Below are 18527 nucleotides of genomic sequence, written 5' to 3'. Positions count from 1 at the left end.
GATACCTTGGAAACTGAAATAAGCAGGGTATTTTTAAATGAATATCATTAACACTGATTACTTTTAATGAGATTATGTCCATGTCTCAGTCAGTAAAAACAACTGCAGCAACCACTTATCAAGCATTTGTAATATGCTAGACATTGTATCAAGTATTTTACATGTATCACTTCATCTATTCTCACAATAATGCAATGATGATGATCTATTTTATCATCGTTTATCACACAAAAAAAACAAAAAAACAGGGTGCTGTGGCTCATGCCTGTAATCCCAACACTTTGGGAAGTCAAGGTGGGTGGACTGCTTGAGTCCAGGAGTTTGAAACCAGCTTGGCCAACATGGCAAAACCCCATCTCTACAAAAATTAGCCAGGTGCGGTGGCACATGCCTACAGTCCCAGCTACTCGAGAGTCTAAGGTGGGAGGACTGCTTGAGCCTGGGAGGTCAAGGGTGTAGTGAGCCATGATTGTACCACTGCACTCCAGCCTGGATGACAGAACGAGATCCTGTCTCAAAAAAAAAAAAGCAAAACTGAGGTGCAGAGAATGAATCTGGATGAGTTCTCCTAAACAACAACAAAAATCTATAAGTATCTATATCTATATATCTATTTGAAAAAGATAACGTCTCTGTTATACCATAATTACATACAGGTTTATTTCTAATACGTTGGTATACTTTTCAAAATATACAGACAAGGAAAAGATGAATTTTCTTTGAGTAGGAAAGATGATGAAGAGCCTTTCACGATGGTGTTCAGGTTGATGGCATCCTTGGTGACAGGGTTTCTGTACTTCACGCAGGGACAAAGACTAGCAAAATATTACAGCTCTCTTGTACCAGGCAGTACCCTAAGAGTGACAGCCAGGCTTACAGCCTTCAGATGAGAGTCCTTTAGGTAAAGACCATGTTACTTTACCATCTTGTCCACAACAGATTAGATTAGACCAAGGTTTTGGCACCCACGCTTTGATTAGCAGTTTATAAAGTAGTTTGGCAGAATTCTTCCTAATAGGGACACTCTCCCCAGGAAATGCTTTCTAAGAAGATTCTTTCTCTTTGATAATCTGAATGTGAGACACATAAGGACATGTAAAGAGCAGACAGAAATAGAGAAGGCAGTAAACAGAAGCCATGAGATGGCAGATTCTGTCTGTCCGTCCGTCCGTCTGGCCGGCCGGCCATCCATCCATCCATCCATCCATCTATCTTTCTATGCCTCTATCTATCTATCTACCTATCTATCTATGCATCTATCTAATCAATCTATCTATCTATCTAGGCCACAAGGTTGGGAGAAAGTCAGCAGTAGTCAGTAGGACAGGACAAGCAGATGGAGAAAGAAGCAGACAGAGGTACAAGGAAAAGCTACAGTAGCACCTGGCTACTAGAATTGTTCCAGTATCCTAAACAATTCTCCATCCAGTTTCACCGTTCAAATGCTGAGAAGGTGCCTTAATTCCCTGAATAATCTAATAATAAATTCTTTTTCAGCTGAGGTATCCAAAGCATGTTATTATCCTTTACAACCTGAAATAACCTAACCAACACACACCCACAGTCCTATATCCAGTAAAGAGATCAGTGTCCTGAAAGTTATGTTCTCCATCTTCATTTTCTAAGCTATTTTTGGCCAGCAAGAACTTATCACAGACTTGTGTCTGCAGCCTAGAATCGTATTTTAATCAACAGTTCTGCCCTGTTCCTAAATTAACAGAAATTAATCCTATAACAATTTTTTTTGCCCATTTCTACCCTCAAATCATCAAGTTTGGAAACCTGAATGTCGTATGAAAAAATAATAGTGGTATTTTATTTATTATATCAAGTGACATCAGTAAGAAACAAGGAGGTACCTACTTGGCACACAATATACTTCTTTCCCTCCTTCTAAATTTATATTCTAACTAAACAGAATATTTATTTTCCATTACGAACAAAACAAAAATAAGCCAGTCTAACAGTGTAGTACAAGCTCCCGTATTATAAAAAAATAAATCTGCTTAACATTTGAATTAAAAAGGCAATTTCTGTGTTCTACCCAATTCATAGACACAAACTTCTTCTATTCTGTCTATAATGTAGCGATGTCCCTCAAATTCTTGAATTTATCTAACAGCTTGGTAGAGAAAAAGGTCTAAAATAAGCCTTTTATTGTCTGAATTAGTAGTTGACAAGATTTTCAAGATGCCCTAAGAGTCATCCTCGACTGCTTTCTTTCTCTCATACCCATATCAAATCCATCAAGAAATTCTGTTGGCACAATCTTCAAAGTTTATCCGGAATGTTAAGATGCCTTCTTGATCTCTTGTGGAGTGTCTCTTCCTCTGCCTGTCCCTCAAATGGTGGTGGTCCTCAGAGAATACCCAGCAACCCTTCACTCTTCTTGCTCACCCTGAGCAAGCTCCTTCTCCCATGACTCACAACTGTAATGTCAGGCCAAGTCTTTTCACCAAATGTTCAGATGGTCTCCGCCTGCATCTCTCACAGACTTCTCAAACCTAAAGTGCCCCAAATTGAACTAATCTTTTCCAACACATAAACCCGTTGTTTCTGAAGAATTCCCCACCTGAGGGAAAGCAGCCACGAGTTTTACCCAGTTCTTCGGGAAGAACATGCAGAATGATTTTTATAAAATACAAGCCTGAATGTGTTACTCCTCTACTTAAAATCTTTCAATCTCCCCTAAGAGTAAAAGCTGACGGCCCTTTACAAGCTGTCCCTTTCCTAGTCCTTTCAACCTCATTTCCTACCACAATCAACTCACTCATTCTACTTCCACCACACTTCTTCTCAATTCACTTCTCAAATTATTCAGGCATCTTTTTAACTTCAGAGCCTTGACTATTACCTATCTAGAACACTCCCCACCCCACCAGACAGCTATATGATTCAGTCCCTTTTGTCCCTTAAGTTTCTATTCAAATGCCATCTTCACTGTGCAGTCTATCCTGATATTCTCATTTAAAACTATATTCCCACCCCCCTCACCTGTACAAACAATAACTCAATCTGTTTCTTTTCATTGTACTTACCATCTAACATGTAATATAAATTCCTTATTATGTTTATTGTTAGTCTCCCTTCTTAAGAACGGACACTTGAGGGCAGATTTTTGTTCATTTTCTTCATTGATACGTATGTATATATGAGGGTTAAGCGGTGAACTCTGGAGTCAGAACGCTCAGGCTCAAATCCTGGCTCTGTCACAGAATAATATACAGGGTCTAGCATAAAGTAATTGACAGTCTGGTCTTGAAATCCTGGCCTCAGGCAATCCTCTTACTTCTGCCTCCCAAAGTGCTGGGATTATAAGCATGAGCCACTGCACCTGGCCCTAAAGCAAATTTTTATTACCATATAACACTACAGTAACCAAAAGGAGAGAAATCCTTTTCTGCATTTTTTAGTAGTTTATTACCTTCTAGGCTAAAAATCAAACATGACTCAGGGTGCCTGCGTGCGTGTGTGCGCGCGCGCGCGTGTGTGTGTGTGTGTGTGTATATGTATATATATGAAAATGTTTGATTAAATGATTTTGCAATTTAATAATAAAGGTGACATAAAACTACAAGCTTTGAAATTGTATTGTGACACATCAAATTAGGAAGATATGGTATAGTCAACTATATCACTACATTCACAGTTAAGAGAGTTATCAAAAGCTCAGGCACGTGTCATTAAGTTAGAACTGATCTAATTTGTAGTTAGCTTTTAGTTACTTCAATGTAGGCATGTCACCTTCACAGAAATTATTTTCCATTTTTTTAACAGCTGCAAAATTTCACTTGTTCTGTATTTATAAATTTTTAGCATCAATATCTGTATTTTGTATCTTCTTTTGAAAAACGAAAGCAAAAATAAGTGGAATAACAGGGCATTTACAAAATTCATGATCTTCATAGTATTTACACTGTCTCATTATTAAATTTGCCAAGAGAAATATAGCTGATAATGTTAATTAAATGTTTTCAGTGAATTATTTTCATACCTGTGTTTTCTTATGAGGTACTTGCAATGCCTCAGTAAATAATCTTTTGAAGGTCTACACAACTTCAGTGACCAGAAGTCATCTAATCTCATCTTTGGAGAGCAAGATTTTCCTGGATTCCCACCAAATAAGTAATGAACCTATAATAAGCAAAATAAGCCAGATTTTTAAAAATGCATGCATACCCAAGATATTCTAGTAGCAGTGCATAACAGGTTAACTTCCTGAGCCCATTCAAATAAAAAAATTAAAAATTATACTGCATTTTTACCAAAAGCTTCTCTTGATTTTTCTCATTTCTATTTTGCTTTAAAGCACCATGGCTACTTTAAAAAACTGCACATATGCCAAAGTGAGTTATATTACCATAACTACAATGACAGTGGAAGGTATGAAACAAAAACAATGATAGGAAGAAGTTAATCCAAGATATTATTTGCTGAGGACAACAAATAATGGGGATAAAATTAATCACAATATTGATCATATAACAAATATCTTAAAAATTCTGACATAAATGCTGAATCACTAAAAGTTAACAGTCAACAGGTCAACTAGAAACTTTAAAAAAATTTTAGGCCAGGCGCGGTGGCTCACGCCTGTAATCCCAGCACTTTGGGAGGCCGAGGCAGGCGGATCATGAGGTCAGGAGATTGAGACCATCCTGGCGAACACTGTGAAACCCCGTCTCTACTAAAAATACAAAAAAATTAGCCGGGCGTGGTGGCGGGCGCCTGTAGTCCCAGCTACCTGGGAGGCTGAGGCAGGAGAATGATGTGAACCCAGGGGGCAGAGCTTGCAGTGAGCAGAGATTGCGCCACTGTACTCCAGCCTGGGCAACAGACCGAGACTCCGTCTCAAAAAAAAAAAAATTTTAACATCTTAATTTTGCTTTAACTGAAATGCCAAATATTAAATGGCACATATAATTTGTGAAATAACATTAAAAACATTATTCCATAATTCAATACCAAAAATGAAATGCAAAAGGAATTTATAATGATTTCACTATTACATTAATCAATTATCTGTTCCTCAGATAACTTTGGAAGACAAAACAGTGAAGAAACGCAATCACTTTCGTAAGTGGTAGAAGTGAGAGGTATAACTGCCTAAATTTATTGCACTTGAATGTTTTTCTGTATGTATACAAAAGCATTTAAATATTTAAATATTTTAATTACAATTAGTGTATACATTTATTAAATTTAAATTTAAATATTTCCTAAAATTTTAAAAACATTTATATTCATTGGTGTTATATAATAGTTATTATCTCTATCCTATGGATGGAAATTCATTTACTCCTTAAATTGAGAGGTTATAAAAGAAAGGGCTTTTACTCACTCCCATGTTATCTTTTACCTAAAGGTCTCAAAGTGTATTGCGTAGAATTTAAATAAATCATCCATGGCTTAACAGAAAGAATTGGTCTCTGTCAGTAATTTACTATGTAATCTAAGTCCAATCACTTAAGTACATGGTTAAGTTTAAGACAGAAATAAAGAAAGAACTCTCAACACTATGACACTAAAAATTCACAACAGAGGACCATTTCACAAGGCTGATTTAAAAGAGGTATCACTAGTATATCAGGAAAATTAAGATTAAAAAGACTTCGCACACAATAGGAAAATCTAAAACCAAAAACCATGTTATATCACGGAACAAGGTACCTAAATGCTGACAACTGTACATATTTTACTTGGATAGTCACATTGTAGAAACAATAGGCTATGTCATGTATCTAGATCTATACAGCTAAGAAGCTGCCACTGACTATTTTCAAAAAAGGAAAAGTACCAAGAATTACAGACTACGTAAAAATGCTTATTCTCTTAAGGAATTTTAGGGAGAAGTGATATTGGGTGTTTGTTATTCTATTGAATGTCTACTATGTATTTTAACTTTTTACTCAAATCCAATTTAAAACAATCAAAGATATATTTGGGGATTGTTTCAGATAGTAGGCCATGGAAAGTTTACAGGTCAATGTAGTTAGGATACCTTGTGTAGCTCATCGTATACAAGCTGATGGGCAAACCTTGGACATGGTTCTTCTTCCTGAAGACTTTTAGTTGGATTATCCTTTGCAGCTTGATCATTCTTATAGACACAAGACCTGCAAGACATTGCTTTTAAGGCATTCTAGAGAATTAGCAGCAAAGATAATACAACTGTAGCAAGCAAATTAACTGCATGTCTAATTACTAACAAAAAATTTTAGAAATGCGTTCACATCGTATCTTAAAGTTCTAGTTATTCATAAAACAATCGGAATTTGTTAGAACTGAGTTCTAAAGTTCTTTTGATGTCCAGTAAATAGCTCACATATCCTACTTTTTGTTATGAAATACAAACAGCATACATGAAAGCTCAAACTAAAGACTGAAAGAGATGCTATCTTGTCTATGTATGCACAATAAAAATGTACAGTATACATTGCTGTCATTTGACTGTAAATAAATGTCCTATTTAGAAAATAATAAATTCCTTAGCTGCAGAGCACTATTCCCCATTATGAATGGAGAAGCTCTCTGAAGTGCTTCTGTTCTGCACAATATTCACTTATGGAGCAATCACAGAATGTCAGAGCTGGATCCATGTTTTCCCAAAGCAAAATGTGCAGCACCAGTTCTGTGGGATGCTCTATGACACAAAAGTCATGGTTTGGAAATGCTAAGTAATACTGTCCCCTCCTTGCTATAGTCAAGCCTCTTCGTTTTATGAAAACTAAGATCTGGGAACATTAAAGAAACAGCACTGTTCTCAAGTTCACACATCTACTTGAGAACGGAACCTAGACTAAAATACAATTCTCTTGAGTCCCAGGCCAGGAACCATCTACTACTTGAAAAACACAGAGGTAAAATCCATTCACTGAACATCATTGTATACATAGGTACCGATATTGATTTTTTTCCAATACTGACTTTTAAATATACAATGTCACAAATTAACGTAATACTCTCATTTCTCTCTTTTTTGAATAAACCAACAACCTCAAATAATTATTACATTGGGATTGCAGCAGAGACAAGAGTTCCTTACCAACTATTCCTCACAATGTCATAAATCCAGAATGAATTTCTAACATTTTCTTCCCTCTTTTCCTTATCTTTGCTGAGTCCAGATAAGACGTGTATTTCATTCAGTTCTGGATCAATAGTTGCTCTCTGTGTAAATCCTGTCATTGGAACTACAAATTAAAGAAAAAAATAAGATGAAAATATTCACATTAGATAGATTAGTATTTCCTTCCTTCCTTCCTTTCTTTTCTTTCTTTTTTTAAAGAACAGCATTTCACTCTGTTGCCCAAGCTGAAGTGCAGTGAGGCACAACCATGACTCACTGCAGCCTAGAACTCCTGGGCTCAAAGGATCCTCCTGCCCCAGCCTCCCAAGTAGCTGGGACTACAAGCATGCACCACCACACTCAGCTAATTTTTTTATTTTTTGTAGAGATGGGGTCTTGCTATGTTGCCCAGGCTGGTCTCAAACTCCTGGCCTTAAGCAATATTCCTGCCTCATCTTCCCAAAGTGCTGGTGTTACAGGTGAGCCACCACATCCAGCCCCTACTAGTTTCTCTTGAAAAGATCAATACACCTTTATTCTGCTTTATGTGTCCACATACTTAACTTCTAACACACTACATAACTTTTTAACTAAACAATAAACAATTATATATTGCCTTCTCCTTACTCTATGAGCTCCACAAGGAAAGAGGCTGTTTTGTTCACTATTTTGTTCCCAGTGTCTAGAATAGTGCCTGAATATAACAATTACTAAATGATTTGTGGAAAGACTAAAGGAAATGTCAATTGCCAGCTACAGGGAAAAAAGAAGCAGAAAGAGGTATGCAATATAATCATTTTTACATAAGGAAGGAAAGGATAATGCTTTAATTAACTGATTTATTATCTGGGACAGTTCTAATTTGATAGTAGAGATTAAATATTCAAATCTTGACCTGGGAAAAAAAATTTGATAAAAGGTAAAACGCAGCGTTGCTTAATAAGGTCAGAGTCATTTAAAATATCTGTTCATCACATATAATAACTTCCAAAAATAAAATTTAATATTCTGGGCCAGGTGCAGTGGCTCGTGCATGTAATATCAGTGCTTTGGGAGGTCAAGGTGGGAGGATCATATGAGGCCATGACCTCAAGACCAGCCTGGGCAACATAGTGAGACCCTGTCTCTATGAAAACTAAAAATCAGCCAAGTGTGGTGGTGTGCACATGTAGTTCTAGCTATCTGGGAGGCTGAGGTGGGAGGATCCCTTGAGCCCAGAGTTGGAAACTGCCATGAGCTATTATCATGCCATTGTACTTCAGCCTGAGTGACAGAGTAAGACTCTGTCTCTAAAGCAAATAAATAAATAAATAAAAATTCTGGGGTATAATATGCCATTTTGTTTCCTTGAGTGGCTTAAACTCCCCAAAGTTAATAATGCTGTATTTTTATAAGAAATCTATTAAATAAATGATGATCACTTTGCATTACCCAATAATCTGTAAAACACTGATATGGCAAATGACAAATTTTCTTATTCTTATTTGAAAATGTTTGAAATATAATTTCATATACATAAAGTGCATATTATGAACTCAGCTACTTCACAACATAATTGTCATGATCTAAAACAATGTCATTGTTTTAACATTTCTTTTACCCATGAACAATTATCATGTGCTCAAAAAGCTAAACAAATATCAGATTGAAGTGAAATATTTACGTCAACCTAGAATACTATGTATTGCAGGAGATGCCAGCCATATTGATCTTGGTCTTCTTTATCTACTTTAGTGGGACCAAATAATCCAGTATTTATTTTTTCCTAGTCTACCTTAAATTCATGTCCTTTTACATTCTTATTCAACAAATTTGGGACATTTTAAAGACTATCCAAATGCATTTCACAGTAACTATATTATAAAATTATACACACACACACACACCATACAATTTGTATACATACATACACAATATTTATATTTATACACACACATATATCAACCTGATCTTAATAATAGCCTACACCCTCATGCCACAGTCTTTAGTGTATGTAAAGTCTGGTACAGTCGAACCTCCATATCCCTGGGTTCTATGTTCAAGGATTCAAACCACTACAAATTTAAAGTATTAAAAAAAAAAAACCGCAAACAAAAAACAAAACCCATAAATGGTTGCATCTGTATTGAAGACATACAGACTTTTTTTCTTGTCATTATTCCTTATAACAACTATTTACATTGTATCAGGTATTATAAGTAACCTAGAAATGACTTAAAGTATAGGAGGGAATGTGCGTAGGTTACACCATATCACGGACTTGAGCATCTGAGGATTCTGGTATCCAAGAGAGGTCCTGGAACCAGTCCCTCAAGGATGCCAAGGGACAATTGTATTTTCTTAATAAGGCATGGTAAATTTTCAGAAGTGATGTGCTCAGGTTCTGACCTCTGCTCCTCAGATAACTTTGGAAGATAAAAACAGTAAAGAACTGGAATTACTTTCGTAAGTGGTAGAAGTGAAGGGTATAACTGCCTAAATTTATTGCATTTAAATTTCATTATTCTATTTTGTCTTAATAGTGAGCCTTTGAATTAAAAATTTTATAACATGGCTTGGCAAACTATGGCTTGATCTGCCCTGCTCAGGGTCAAATCAGGCAATGTCCATTCATTTACATGTTGTCTACGGCTGTTTTCACCTACAATTATTACCAGAGCCTGTAACTCACCAGAGATAAAAGATGAAAAACTTCCAAATAAGTCATCGGATACAAAGAGAAGAAGTAGATTGTGAGGAAGGCTTCTGTGGAGAGCTTCTAATAAGGACATAGGGGCGTAAATAAGAATGAGAGCAGAGCTTAAAGTAACTCCCAATCTTTACTTTGTTAATCATATATGTTCCCAACTTGTGTGCCTATTCTCAGCTTACGCATTCTATAGGAAAGCTTGGTTGACAGTATGTGCTGTGCACTTATACAAGACCTTGATCAGTGTCTCATTTATGAGAGAAACCTACTGGAAAAAGAGACCTACACACTGTAAAAGAAACTGCTGTTAACTACCTTTCTTAATTGATACAGTCCTTTATTCATAAATGTTAAAGTTTAGACATGAATTATAGACAGGAGGAAAAAAATTAACAGTGTAAAAGAGAGGGACCTAGATGAACAAATAGAACAACCAGGAAAAGACAAATCACAGAAAAGAACATAACTTGGGGGAAAAAAAACCCTATGAGTATCCTTGAGGAGATTAAAGAGAATATTTCATGTGCAAAACAAGAATAAGCTGCCATAAAAAGGAGCAGGGACTATGAAAAGATACTAAAAAGTGAAACTATGACCAAAAAATTCAAATGACAGAATGAAACTACAGACATAGTTAGAAACAAAGTCAGTGGTCTCTAGATAAAACTGACAAATCACCAGAATAAACAGCAAAAAGATAGAAATTATGAGGGAAAAGTTAAAGGACACAGAGGATATACCCATCGAAGCCAAATTATCTGAAAAAAAGACCAGAAGGAAAGAAGAAATAATGTAGAAGAAAAAATAAAGTTTCCCTGAACTGGGTGTCCTGTTTGAGAGAGCCCACTGCAAGCTAGGCATGTTTAATTTAAAAAGATGGTGCACACATATATCTATGTTGTTTTTTTTTTAAAAAGATGGCATGTAGATATATAGATGTACATCTCCACCTTAATATGAAATGTTAAAACTCGAAGAAAAGAAAAATTCTAAAAGCTTCCAAAGAAGGAAACAGCAGATTATTATATACAGAGGAATAAAAATCAAACTAACATTAGACCTTGTCAGGGGCTCAGAACACAAACACTCTGGCATGCTAAGTACTTTGAACTAAAGAACACTGGAAGGCCTCAGAACAGCTTCAGAACCAAGTTCTTTCTCACCTTCTTCTGCCCTCCTGCCTGTCTTCCCTCATTCTCCCTAGAAGTGAGTCATCAAATCAGAATTCCTCTTCCTCAAGGTGGGTCATAAAAACTAGAACCTCTTTTTCCCAAAGTCAGCCTAGACTTTTAAATTCTAAAAACTAGAATTACTGATCCAACTTTCCTCTGCCTTTCTGTCTAGGAGCTCGCCATAAAGAAATTCTGTGATCTACCCTTGTCTGATAGTAGGTCACAAGACCCTTGCTGTAGCAGGGTCCTGCCCCATTCCCAGGAGGAAGAAGTACTACACAGAGGGGCCAAGAAGAATCTGAACAGACGGGCCTTGTTGGGTTTCCCCACCTCAGTCTACCTGCATTAAATCATAGCCTTTTACCCAATCATATTTCTAACCAGCTGTTCATTCTTCATTAAATCTTAGCAAAAAAATGGACAGTTTTCCCCGTATCTTTGGGTCATTTCTTCTGAAGGCTCACATGCCACGTAAAACTTTGATTAAATCAATTTGTTATGCTTTCTTTTGTTAACCTGTCTTTTATTATAGGAGTGTCAAACCATGACTCTTAAAAGGGTTGAGGAAAAGTATCACAACTCTTTTGGCCCTACAACTTATCAGTAACAATGAATGCTAGAATACAATGGAATAACAACTTTAAAATTCTGAGAAGTATAAAAAGATATGGAACTAACTTTCCATTTCCAGTTAAACTAGCAATCTTAACGAGGGCAAAATAAGAGAATTTTAAAGTTCATACATATGACTACATATATATATATATGTATATAAACTTCTTTAAGGAGATATTCCAACAAAACAAAAAAAGGAATCCAAGAAAGAAGATGGCATGAGATATAAGAGACGGTGGCACTGATACATGACACAGGAAAAGGAAGTTAGAAAGAAAATCAAGATCCATTAACTCTTGAGCCTTGTATATGACATTTTAGTGTTAATAATATAGAATAGTTTCTTCTCTATATTCTAATCACAATACCTGAATTTATATAGTGTCCAATTTTCCCTTTCCGCCATGGTTCCTTGACCTAGAATATTGGTCCTAGTGTTTTTCTTCAGGCAACAACAAATTTTGATCATCATTTATCACATACTTCTAGCATTTCTTAGATTTAGTTTTCATTGAGTCCTGCTCCCAAATGGGTTTCTACTGTGGGTATCTATACGGCAAATGTGCTAAGGCAAATATGCCTGAGAATATTTTATGTCACCCTCACATCTCAAAGTTAGGAAGATTTAAATTTCTTGATTCAAAGTTGTTTTTCTTGGCTACTTTTAAACTTTATCGTTTTTTCTCATTCTACATTGCTGTTCAACTGTCAAATGTCTATCTTCTTGTTCCCTTACAGGTCATCTGCTTTTTCTCTCTGAAATCTTTCAGAATTTTCTCTCTGCTATTCTTAATTCTACTTTAATCTGCTTAGGTATAACGCTTTCCCTTATTTGTTCTATTTGGTACACTATGAGCTCTTTCGCCAATCTGAAGTCTTTCACCATTTTTGAATTTTAAGAAATGTATCTCCATTATTTCTACAATTATTTCACCTACATTTTTTTTTTGAGATGGAGTTTCACTCTTGTTGCCCAGGCTGGAGTCCAGTGGCACGATCTCAGCTCACTGCAATCTCCGCCTGTGGGTTTAAGCAATTCTCCTACCTCAGCCTCCCAAGTAGCTGGGATTACAGACATGCGCCGCCAAGCCTGGCTAATTTTTGTATTTTTAGTAGAGACAGCATTTCAATATGTTGGTCAGGCTGGTCTTGAACTCCTGACCTCAGGTGATTCACCCATCTTGGCCTCCCAAAGTGCTGGGATTACAGGTGTGAGCCCCCGTGCCCGGGCTTAAATTTTTATTTTTCTTTCCTTCTGGAATTCCTTTTAAGATGTTGGCACTTGTACAACAATTCTCTATCTTTCTTAGTTTCTCTACTCTATTTTCTATTTCTTTATCTTTTTTCCCTCGCTTTTTCCTGGAAGAGTGCTCTTGCTAATCTTCCAACTGATTAATTCACTCATACCATCCTACTTACATTTGTTGTAGTCTTCATTTTCATTATATTTTTCATATCTACTATTTCCGTATGGTTCTGTTTTTATAATGTTTGGATCTTATTTCATATTACTAGTGTGTTCTCTTACATCTTTAAGTGTATTCATCATGCTTATTTTAAATTCTTGGTTCATCTTTTTTTTTTTTTGAGATGGAGTTTCGCTCTTGTTGCCCAGGCTGGAGTGCAATGGCACAGTTTCAGCTGACTGCAATCTCCGCCTCCCGGGTTCAAGCGATTCTCCTGTCTCAGCCTCCCGAGTAGCTGGGACTACAGGCACGTGCCACCATGCCTGGCTAATTTTGTATTTTTAGTGGAGACGGGGTTTCTCCATGTTGGTCAGGCTGGTCTCAAACTCCCGACCTCAGGTTATCTGCCTGCCTCAGCCTCCAAAAGTGCTGGGATTACAGGCACTAGCCATCACCCCTGGCCGTTCATCTGTTTTAATAATTCTGCTTTACATCATGTATAAGTTTACTCATTTTTTTTTTTTGAGACAGTTGTAGTCCTCAACTGTCTAGTTATATCAGTATGCAAGGTAATGTTTTTCAGGGAATCAGCTCTTCTTTCTGGTAAGATATATTGGAGAGGACTCAAAGGCCAGGCCTTAACTGGTAGAGATTAAGGAAAATAGAGAGGAAAAGTCATAGGGTTCTGAAGCATAAGCACAAAGAACCAAGAATCATGTCCATATATGATCACGCCCCTATGCAACAGTTTTGTACCTTTAAACCCTTCAGGCAAGGGTTTAAAGAGGAAGGAGAAGGCAGTCTCCCTGGACAAAGGGAGAAGAGAAGAAGAAATGAACTATTGAGAACAGATGGTCAGTCCACATGTTTTCATCAACTCTGAACTCCAGCAGGGTTTCTGCACTGACATAATGTTTGCCCACCGAATTCTGACACTAGTGGGCTAGGCTACCGCTGCTAGTTTCTATAGTGAAAGGGTAAAAATTAACTGAAGGGTAATCTGGGGGAGAGTGAGCCTTCAGTCTTATTTAAGGAGTTTCTGGAATCCAGCTGCTCTCAATTTTATTTCTCTGGGTTGATTCTGGGGAAGGGAATCAGCAGCCTGTGTCAGTTTGCTACTTTGGCAGAAGTACTTTTCATTTTATAGCATTCTATGTTATTTGAGTTTTGCTTTATTGATCATGTGAACTGCATTACTTTTATAATAATTATAATAATAAAAATGAAGGCTGGTTAAATAAAAACGGCATTATCAAAAAACAAAAAAAACTAAAGGTCAAAACCAAGAAAGCAGCTTTCATTCTAATATGGCAAAACTATTAATAGTTTTCTGTACTGATTTTCTTTGCAAGATGAAAACAAGGCTATCTTTTCAATTTTTAACAGTTTCTTTTCTCTTTTTTTTTTGGTTTGGAGACAGAGTCTCACTCTGTCACTCAGGCTGGAATGCAATAATGTGAATTCAGTTCACTGCAACCTCTGCCTCCCAAGTTCCAGCAATTATCCTGCCTCAGCCTCCTGAGTAGGTGGGACAACAGGCGTGCATCACCACACCAGGCTAACTTTTTTATTTTTAGTACAGCCGGGGTTTCACTATGTTGGCCAGGCTGATCTTGAACTCCTGACCTCAGGTGATTCGCCTGCCTCGGCCTCCCAAAGTGTTGGGATTACAGGCAAGAGCCACCATGCCTGGCCAATTTAACAGTTTCTAATGGGTATATTTGCGGGGGAGGAGGGAAGGACAAAAGACCTGCAACATAAACGATTTTAAAAACTTTAAGATTCAACTGCTAAAAAGCTCAACTAAATGCCAGGACCTTAACCAGTCTTTAACCTTAACCAGTTTAGAAACTGACTCACAAAGAAAAATTAATCAAGCAGATCAGTAAACGTTAATCATTAACATATTTTGAAAGAACATTTATCTGAAAAAAACAGAAAATAAGAATGATACAACAATTATCACTGCCAACTCGTTATTTTTATAATTGTTTTAGGAAGTTACAATGATAATCCTTCAACTCTATTTCTTCTTTAACATCTTTAAAACTCAAAATAGAACAGCTAAAGGGGAAGTAAAAAAATTTTATCTATATGTCTGAATCACATCTTTTCTCTTCCTTCCTTGGTTTATCCTCTAAGCAAATGGGAGAGATTGTCAGAATATTTAACATAAAGAAACCCTGTGGGAGGGGGGATAAAAAAAAAGTTAACAAATATTTTCGAAGTCCTTTGAATTCCTGAGGAAGATATGTTATTGCATTAACTTATGAATTAATCTCAACTCTATTTTTGCTTCACGGTCCAATGCACATATTCATTACTGATTAGCTAAGACAAAGGAAAAGAACAGTTTTCAGAGCTGTCACAGAAATACAGAATCTAATAAAAAATAGCTTTCCACAAATTCACTATTTGTTAGGATATTTTCAGCTCCAAGTAACAGAAAACCTAACTAACAGTAGATTAATTAGCTCATGTAACAAAATTTTGCAAGTAGACAGCTCCAAGATTGTTTCAGAGTTCAACCAAATCATGGTGCTAGGTTAACTTTCTGCAATTTTCTTGGCCGCCTTCTCATTTTTGAAACTTGCCAATACCAACTCTAAGCATCACATCCTTATATAGAGCACCCAAAGCAGGGAGGCAAAGAATTCTTTCAGCATCTCTCTACTGTCATCAGGGAAGACATTTTTGTCAAATGTCCTCCAGTAGACTTTCTTTATGTCTCATTGGCCAGAATTGTGTCACATGGGAGGAAGGTAAAGTGAAATAATTTGCCAAAGGATAATAATGACTGGTTTAGACTAATCATGATTAACCATTCATGCCCTGGGGTTAGGCAACTTGCCATTAAACAAAATTATGGTTTGGTTAACAGAAGAAAGGGCCAATGACTTTTGGGAAAGCAAACAACAGTGTCTGCCACATCCTTCTCTTTGAAAGTTGGGACATTTTAAATGTTGGATGGGGCCCTATTAAGCACTAGCAACAACTCCAGTTCAGAACTAACTTCTATTATTTTACTTGAATCTTTCTACCACTCATCATTTATTTTTTGTAAATTTGCAACTAGCTTTTGACACTCAACAATATTTACTGATTTATCTCAGCTGTATTAAGCTATAAAAAACTGAACTCTTTGAATGGATCAACCAATTTATTTACTGGTGGACAATCAAATAAATAAAAATCAAATAAGTTGATGGTCAATCCGTCTTCAGATTTTTTCTCCTTGCATACAATACTACAATAAATATCTCTGTATAGCTTATTTTTTGTGGATCTATAAAAGTATATGAGTAGGAAAAGTTCGTGGAGTAAAATGCTTAGTCAAAAAAATATATTTTTTGTATTTTAACAGATAATGATAAAGTACTGTTAAAAAAAAAAAAAAAGGCTGTACCAAATACATTTCAACCAGAATGTAAGACACCTGCTTCCTCATGGCCATACCAACATTCACTGAGTGATTTTTTAATTTACACTTAAAAGTTATGAATAAAGCTGAGCATCTGTACATGTGTAAATTTACTGGCAATATGAATTATTTTTTCTTCGAAGTATCTATTCATATAATTTGTCATTGTTCTACTACAGGATTATCCACTTTTATTGGTTTATAAGAGCCTTTTGTTCATTGTAGGAAATAAGCTTTGTCTTAATTGCTAGTTTGTCATTATTTGATATTTTAACAATTTTTTATATTTTTTAATTTTGCAAAAATCAAACATTCCTTTTCTTTATGATTTCTGGGTTTGTGGCATGTTTAGAAGGGTCTTCTCTTAATCCTAGATTATTAAAAATAATTGGAATTATAATTTTATTTCTTAAGTATGAAACTTAAGTTCACCTAGAATTTTCTTTGATGTACAAAAGTCAAGTAGGGATCCAGATTTTCCCATTTATTCATATTTATTTATTTACTTATTTAAAGAGAAAGAGTCTTGCCGTTGCCCAGGCTGGAGTCAGATTTTCCTTTTTTTTAAAATACTGCCAAGTCTTAAGCAATGTCTCCATGTCATATACTGTTTAATCTATTCTTTCTCTCTGACTGGAAATGCCAACTTTACCATATACTAAATTCTCATATGTATTTGGGGACATTTTTATACTATCTGCTCTATTTCATCCCATTAGTCTGTACTTTGGCAAATTGTAGCTTTATAAATATCTGGTAGTGCCAGTACTACTTCATTAACTTTCAAAATTGTTGTTAGTGTTCTTGCATGTTTGTTTTTACATGTGAACTTTAATTCTCATTTACTATCAAGTAACCTAAATATCATATCTAAAAATATAAAATACTCTTGTAAGCTTGTAACTAGCAAAAACACCCCTGGGAGGGTAGAAGGGGGAAATCAGGGAAAGTTATTATTACCAATAATTTTGAGAGGCAAAAAGTAGATACTCTGTTTGAATAATGACACATCAAATACAAAACATACTAAACTGACAGCAATGAAGCCTAATTATGTTGAAAATAAGCGCTACCATTTTCTAGTCCAGTAACTAATCTATGTTAATGACAGCAAATCATCAGCTTCAAAGTCTTCTCTGTGTTGCCAGTTTGGCTTTACTCATTTAATTGGTAAAAGTATAAAAGGATCGGCCGGGTGCAGTGGCTCACGCCTGTAATCCCAGCACTTTGGGAGGCCGAGGCGGGCGGATCACAAGGTCAAGAGATCAAGACCATCCTGGCCAACATGATGAAACCCCGTCTCTATTAAAAGTACAAAAATTAGCTGGGCGTAGTGGCGCATGCCTGTAATCCCAGCTATTCGGGAGGCTGAGGCAGGAGAATCGCTTGAACCCGGGAGGCAGAGGTTGCAGTGAGCCGGGATTGTGCCACTGCACTCCAGCCTGGCGACAGGGCGGGACTCCATCTCAAAAAAAAAAAAAAAAAAAAAAAAAGTATAAAAGGATCAGAAACATAAAGAGTTATGACCATACTAATTTTTTAAAATGTCAGTAAGCACAATAAGCACATTCCCAGGGCCAAAATGAAAATCAGTATGATTTTGCTTTTAAGGTTTTCATAAAAATTTATTTATAGATAAATCAAGTTCTGTAGATGTAAACTCACATAGCCCTCATATCTTAGTTTCACAGCCTGATAACAGCAGAAGGGAATGAAATTTAATTTTCAAAATTTTGGAGCTAGATGAGGTCTTATGATCAACTGGTCCAATCTCCTCATTTTCAGATGAATAATCAGGTTCAGAGAAGTTATATAATTTTTCTAGAATTACAGAGGGATGAGTGGCAGACCCAGACAAAGAGAGACCAAGTCTTCTGATTCTCAATTTGCTATTCTTTCAATGGTACCAATCTGCTATAATGGTTAGAACAGGATGGAATAAACAATGGCAGATGTGGGAAAACAGAGTGGACACAATTTAAAAATCAAAACAAGTAAATACATAACTACTAAAGAACAAGCATCAGGTTGTAAGACCTCAGTATTACCAATACTTGACTTAGCATTTGGCAAATGAAGAAGGTTCAATATATGCTTCTTCCTTGAATGAATACGAACAGGAGAAAGCACTCTTACTATAGTAGACTGAGTTTCT

At 36.1% G+C, this 18527-nt stretch overlaps 1 protein-coding gene across 7 annotated transcripts in view; it reads right to left on the bottom strand.

Annotated features, from left to right (window-relative positions):
• The window catches only part of MKLN1 (muskelin 1), a 386539-nt gene that overhangs the window by 26223 nt on the left and 341789 nt on the right, over window positions 1-18527 (bottom strand). For 6 of the 7 annotated variants that reach the window (NM_001145354.2, XM_047420401.1, NM_001321316.2 and 3 more), the window contains 3 exons: window positions 7046-7193; window positions 6002-6116; window positions 3995-4134 (listed from right to left, as the gene is read on the bottom strand). In NM_001145354.2, coding sequence (NP_001138826.1) covers window positions 3995-4134; window positions 6002-6116; window positions 7046-7193 — 403 coding nt within the window. Of the gene's footprint in view, window positions 1-3994; window positions 4135-6001; window positions 6117-7045; window positions 7194-18527 lie in introns of those variants that run through there. The other variant, XM_011516224.4, reaches the window with a different exon arrangement.

The sequence above is a fragment of the Homo sapiens genome, chromosome 7 (genome assembly GCF_000001405.40).
Source record: "Homo sapiens chromosome 7, GRCh38.p14 Primary Assembly".
In the NCBI taxonomy this organism is placed as follows: Eukaryota; Metazoa; Chordata; class Mammalia; order Primates; family Hominidae; genus Homo; species Homo sapiens.
Note: the sequence above shows the minus strand (reverse complement) of the source record. Positions and strands in the feature narration are given on the sequence as shown.